The 5,552-nt window shown below is 43.1% G+C and overlaps 1 protein-coding gene and 1 long non-coding RNA gene across 3 annotated transcripts in view, besides 2 other annotated features; one reads left to right on the forward strand and one right to left on the reverse strand.

Moving 5' to 3' along the window:
• The window catches only part of DENND2C (DENN domain containing 2C), an 87,200-nt gene extending 84,696 nt beyond the window's left edge, over positions 1-2,504 (reverse strand). For both annotated transcript variants that reach the window (NM_198459.4, NM_001256404.2), the window contains exon 1: positions 2,438-2,504. The gene's annotated coding sequence lies outside the window, so the exon portion shown is untranslated. The remainder of the gene's footprint in view (positions 1-2,437) is intronic.
• Positions 2,508-2,597: a silencer, noted in NCBI's record as "silent region_1221". NCBI's record gives its function as "represses an Ori minimal core promoter by ATAC-STARR-seq in GM12878 lymphoblastoid cells {active_cell/tissue: GM12878}" and the evidence as "EXISTENCE:reporter gene assay evidence [ECO:0000049][PMID:35858748]".
• Positions 2,718-2,877: an enhancer, noted in NCBI's record as "active region_1547". NCBI's record gives its function as "activates an Ori minimal core promoter by ATAC-STARR-seq in GM12878 lymphoblastoid cells {active_cell/tissue: GM12878}" and the evidence as "EXISTENCE:reporter gene assay evidence [ECO:0000049][PMID:35858748]".
• LOC124904354 (uncharacterized) lies at positions 2,866-3,409 on the forward strand. Its single transcript, XR_007066465.1, has 2 exons — positions 2,866-3,105; positions 3,304-3,409. It is a non-coding gene; the product is annotated as an uncharacterized LOC124904354 (long non-coding RNA).

Consider the following 5,552-nt stretch of genomic DNA (forward strand, 5'->3'; position numbering starts at 1 on the left):
TGTCATTCACTGGCAACAATAACAAAAAAAGGGTTCCCACAGATAAACTATAATTACATCGTTTTAATTGCAATAAAACTGGTATTGCAATACCAGTTTATTTTTTCCTCTTTCTTTCCTTCTTTTTGAAATAGTTTTTTATAGACCTCTTTTTAAAATACCTATTAGATGTCATTTGTATCTCACTCACAGAATTTGAAACTCAGTATAGCGCAAAGGTTACAATCAGGTCCTTGGAGAATGACTGATTTGAATCCTACTTTTGCTATCTAGGTTGTCTAATCATGGGCAAGTTACTCAACCTCTCTATGCCTCTTAATGAGATAATCATAATAACATCCCTCATGGTGCTGTTGTGAGGATTAAGTAAGCTAATACATGTAAAGAATTTAGAATACTGCCTGGCACAGACTAGGTACCAATGAATGATAGCTGATGTTGTTATTGTTACCATCCGCTTTAAAAACAGCTTTTGTTTTTTCAGTACTTATTTTAGCCCACTTGGTAGAATGGAATCTCCTAGATGACAGGAATTACATACTGCTCTTACATAAATATAATCTTGTGCCTATTGTGTAGTAGGCCCTCAAAAAACAATGTGAATGTAAGGTTTCAGACCTCCAAGATCAAGAAATTGTAAATCACAGAAAAATTTATACATGGAGTACGTTTAAAACTCATGTTTTAAAGTAGCTTCAAAAGACCCATCCTCCACTGAATTGCTGAAACATGTTTAAGTAAAACTTCTAAAGCAACACACACAAAAATTACATTCACTAGTAACTTTCCCTCTACTACTTCATTTAATTTGATCTTGGTATCCAGTGGTCTAAAATTCTTGCCTATAACTTAAGACTCACTACAGACCATTTAAAAGTAATATAATTTCCAGCTTTAGAAAACTGCTTATTGTCATTAAGAAAAATAAATATTCTTCCTTTATTGCTGCATTTAAAAAACGTACTGCCACATTCAACACACACACACACACACACACACACACACACACCCCAACTAATGAAAGACCAAGACACATAATTACTACATTTCCTGGTTTCTGCCTGGCAAACTCAGAACAGGCCTACAAGTATCCCCAGCAAAAGCCTACAGGTTACAAAACTGCCATTTTCTTTTTTATTTCCCATCTCCCCGCTAAAATCCCTCGCACACATATCCATAGTAAAGAACAAAAACGTCTATAATAAAGGCTGTATGAAAAAATATGGCTATATATTAACAATATTTTGGAAGATTTAAATCTTCCTATAAGCAGCCCGTCAATTCACAAAAACAAATTAAAGTCTTGATTTGGAACAATATTCCCAGCTTACTTTAGCAGGTATCTTAAACTACAACTATTTAGCTAAGACAAAGAAGTAGATTATTTGATTGCTACAGACTTCGCGGTAAATGATTCAGCAACAGTGTATAGATAACACCACTGTGCTATTCTAGAAAATTTCATCAATCATTTAAAAATAGGACACACTCAAACAATGGGGGTCACTTTGTGGGAAAAGTTTAAACAACTTATTTACACAGTAAGCAAGGATCTATCACTTTATCTAAAACACTGCAGAAGAATCACTAGCTTTAGGGTAAACGTTTGTAAAGTGCCTACTATGTACCAGGCAAGTAGTAGTTGCTTCACAGAATATACACGCTCCACACGCACGTTCAAATATCTGACATTTGTAGAATACTGTCACTCATCTGATTTGACCCTGAGAATACCCATAGGCATGAACTTGCCAGTTTCACAGTTACGGAAAGAGAGGCCCAGGAAGTTAATTTGGCCGAGGTATCACATCTGGTTCCGCGGGTTCTGGCCCTAGACTTGAGCCTTTTGACTCATAATCTAATCATCAGCTGCTATACAGCTCTAGTTACTCAAAAGCTCTTAGGTGTTCCACTGTCAGACTTTTAAATTAAAATTCTACTTGACAACTTTCGGTATTGTGCGTATTAGATGCTGTTAAGAATCAAAACACCAAAAAAAGCAAAATATTGTTTGGAAGTGCATCGTCCCAGCATGTCGAAGTTCAAGCTCACTGGCTAATTTTGGAGAAAGCCCGCGTTTCCCCAGGCTGCCGGGCGCTCCCTCCCTCTTCCCCAGCAGAGAGCGGCGCCCAGCCTAGGGGTCCCCAAGCCCCTGAGGTAGCGAGGAGGTCTTCAGCCAGGCTCCGCCACAACCCGTGCGGCCACGAGAGGACGTCCCAAAGCTGGGCCCAACAACCGGTTGCTCCTCCGGACGGAGGAGGTGCCGAGACAGCGGGGCGCGGAGACACCACCTCCGCCAGCTCGGCTCGCACCGTCCGAGGACTACGCCGCGGCGCCACAGCCCCGCACCCGACGCCCAGAAGGGTGATGCCGACAGCCCCGAGAGTCCGAAGCCCCTGCGGCTTAAAACCCCGCGCCGAATCACCCCGACTCTTACCTGTCTGTACCTCAACGTTGTCTCCTGTGGCCAAGCTAGTCTCCCGGGTATCACTCGGGTCCGCTCCGTCCCGCCCCCGCAGGCCCTGCCGAAGGCCCCGTCCCGGCTGCAGCCCCACCCCCTAGCCCCGCCCTCCCTGGCAAGGCTCAGTTCTTATTGGCTCCTATTCCCACCCCTCACGCTATGCCCGCCTCCGACACCGCCCCGGCCGGCGGTGAGGGGAACCACCACGCCTCAAGTCCGCTGTATGGCCAGAACCTTGCCAGGACCTCGGTCACTGCAGTTCCAGCAGGCGGGCGACCAGTGTCACCGTCGTCCGGCCAAGCCCTCGAGCCAGAGCTCCATCGCCTTCGCCTGCCGTCGCATCGGCCCCACGGAGACGGCCCTATGCTTCATGTGAAGGTTTACTCTTCACAACTACTCAACAAGATAAAGCCTGGCTTAATCAGGGAATCCAAGCACTGTTTCCTAGGCTGACCTCAGTGAGCAAACAATTGCACTACGGTGCCAACTTGAAACGTCAAGAGAAGCAAATAACTCTCGCGGCACCTCAGGCTTGGAATCTCAGAACGGGGGTGCCTTGATACTCCCAGTGCGTGAGGTCAGCCCCCACGCCCTGTTGAGACACACATGCCTAAGCGCTCCGCCTGCAACACGCTCTTGCTTAGGTATGTGCGTGGTGTTGTGCCTACTGCAAGCTGTAACCCAGTTTCACCGAGGCTGCGGGACAAGGATCAGTTGAGCCTGTTTCCCAGGCACTCGCTAACCACCCCACCCCGCCTCGCCCCGCCCCACCCCACCCCACCCCACCCAGCCAGAGCCTCTTGGGTCTGGTGACCAAACTCTTCCTACATTTGTTCACACAGAGGTACCAAAATAGAAGACTACCAGAAAGAGAGGTGTTTAGTTACGTATCACGGATGACTGTCACAAGCAAACTTAACCCAAACAATAAAGGTAGCATATCCCAAACCGTTGTGAAACTATCACCTGTAGACAGTAAAACAGAAATTACATTCTATGATGGGGGAAAAAAAAGTAATGACATACTTAAAAAAAATCATGTCCCAATGAGGAAATAAATGTGGATATTGTTTGTAGTAAATTTTGCACACTGATCATTATGGGCTTCCCCCACCAAAAAAAAAAAAATTCTTATATAATGTGTCTATCTATTTATTTATTGAGACAGGGTCTCTTTGTGTCACTCACACTGGAGTGCGGTGGCCCAATCATAGCTCACTTGAAGTCTCAACTTCCTAGGCTCAAAGAATCGTCCCACCTCGGCCTCCCAAGCAGCTAGTATTATAAGCATGCACCACCACCCCCGGCTAATATTTTTATTTTTATTTTTTTGTAGAGACAGGGTCTCGCTATGTTGCCCAGGCTGGTCTCCAACTCCCGAGCTCAAGCAGTCCTCCTGCCTCAGCCTCCCAAAGTGCTGGGATTACAGACATGAGCCACTGCACCCAGCCCAGAAATGTATTTTTTGACCCCTGCATTCAGGAAGATTATTTGGCAAAATAAGGCAGGTTGAATTCCAAGTATCACGTATGAAACCAAATTTATAGATTAATAAATGAATTCACATGTATGTATTCTACTGCCCTCTCATGGGTAAGATGGAGATATACATAATGGTAGTTAATGCCCTTTGAAGTCTGAGAATACAGTGTTTAATGTAGCAATTTGTACTATTTTGATGATGAGGAGGCCAAGGTAAAATAAAATCTGGTTCTTTAAAGGGTTCACAAATACTCAACAAACAAAACTTCAACTTCAGAAATCAGGAAGAGATTCTTACACCAGAGCTAGTACAAACATGCCATCAGGGTTACACCTATGCTTATGGCTGCATGTGTAGAATATAGAAACGTGCAGAAATTTGCTTTCAATTTTTTTTCCATTTGAAAGTTCAGGCTGGGCACAGTGGCTCACGCCTGTAATCCCAGTACTTTGGGAGGCCAAGGCACATGGATCGCTTGAGCATAGGAGTTTGAGACCAGCTGGGGTGACATGGTGAAACCGCGTCTCTACAAAAGGTTCAAAAAAGTAGCTGGGTGTGGTGGCATGTGCCTGTAGTCCTGGCTACTCGGAAGTCTGAGGTAAGAGGATCACCTGAGCCTGGGAGGCCGAGGCCGCGGTGAACTGTGATTACACCACTGCACTGCACTCCAGCCTGGGTGACAGAGCAAGACCCTGTCTCAAAAAAAAGAAAAAAGTTCATTACTTTTGAAGACATTTCACAAAATTCTATTTTTTACTTGTAGCCACACTATAACTTCATGCTGAGGACAACTAGAGGATAGGAATGAAATCTTATTCTGTATACCTTTGGTGTTTAGAATAGTACCTGATAATTTAGCTATTTGATCAATAATTGTTTATTGAATAAGTTGAATGAAATGTCAGCCCAGCCACTAGATGCCAACACAGTTGTATGTGTGGAAGTATCATCTGCCCATTTGGAATTTCACCTGACCTTAAGTAATAGGCATGCTTCTTAAAAGTTATATGTACATTTTACTTTGGTAAGCAAAATCATTTAAAATGTACCAGTTTAGCTCACTATAATCTTATTGTCAATTACATCCTTAAAGCTAAGAATCCTTTTGTAAGATAAATTCTCCCTCAATATAATAACTCATAAATACTGATTTTCTATATTGAGGTACGCCCTCTGGTTTTGTCTAAAAAAGCCACTATTCACTTATACCTTGTCAAAGAACTTTTTAGTGGTTCTAAGTGCCTTAAGCAAATTTCATGCTATAAACCAGAAGCCTATCTCCCAAAAAGTCATTTGCTTGTATTTTTGCCCAGCTTTAATAGATATTTTGCCTGAAAGTCATAGAGACTGCAGTCAGAGAAACCCACGTTCCCACTGCTACCCTTCACCAGGTATATCCTTGTGCAGGTTATTAACCTTATTAGCTTTAGTGTACTAATTTCCCCCAAAATGGAGATAATAATATCTACTTTATAAAGGTTGTGAGAAGGATTAAATGAAATAATTTCAGTGGAACATCTAATACTTTCCTTGGTTTATAGTAGGGACTCAATAACAGGTAACTATTATTATTCAAACTCTACAATGAAATTCTCACTCATATTATTA

The sequence above is a fragment of the Homo sapiens genome, chromosome 1 (assembly GCF_000001405.40).
Source record: "Homo sapiens chromosome 1, GRCh38.p14 Primary Assembly".
In the NCBI taxonomy this organism is placed as follows: Eukaryota; Metazoa; Chordata; class Mammalia; order Primates; family Hominidae; genus Homo; species Homo sapiens.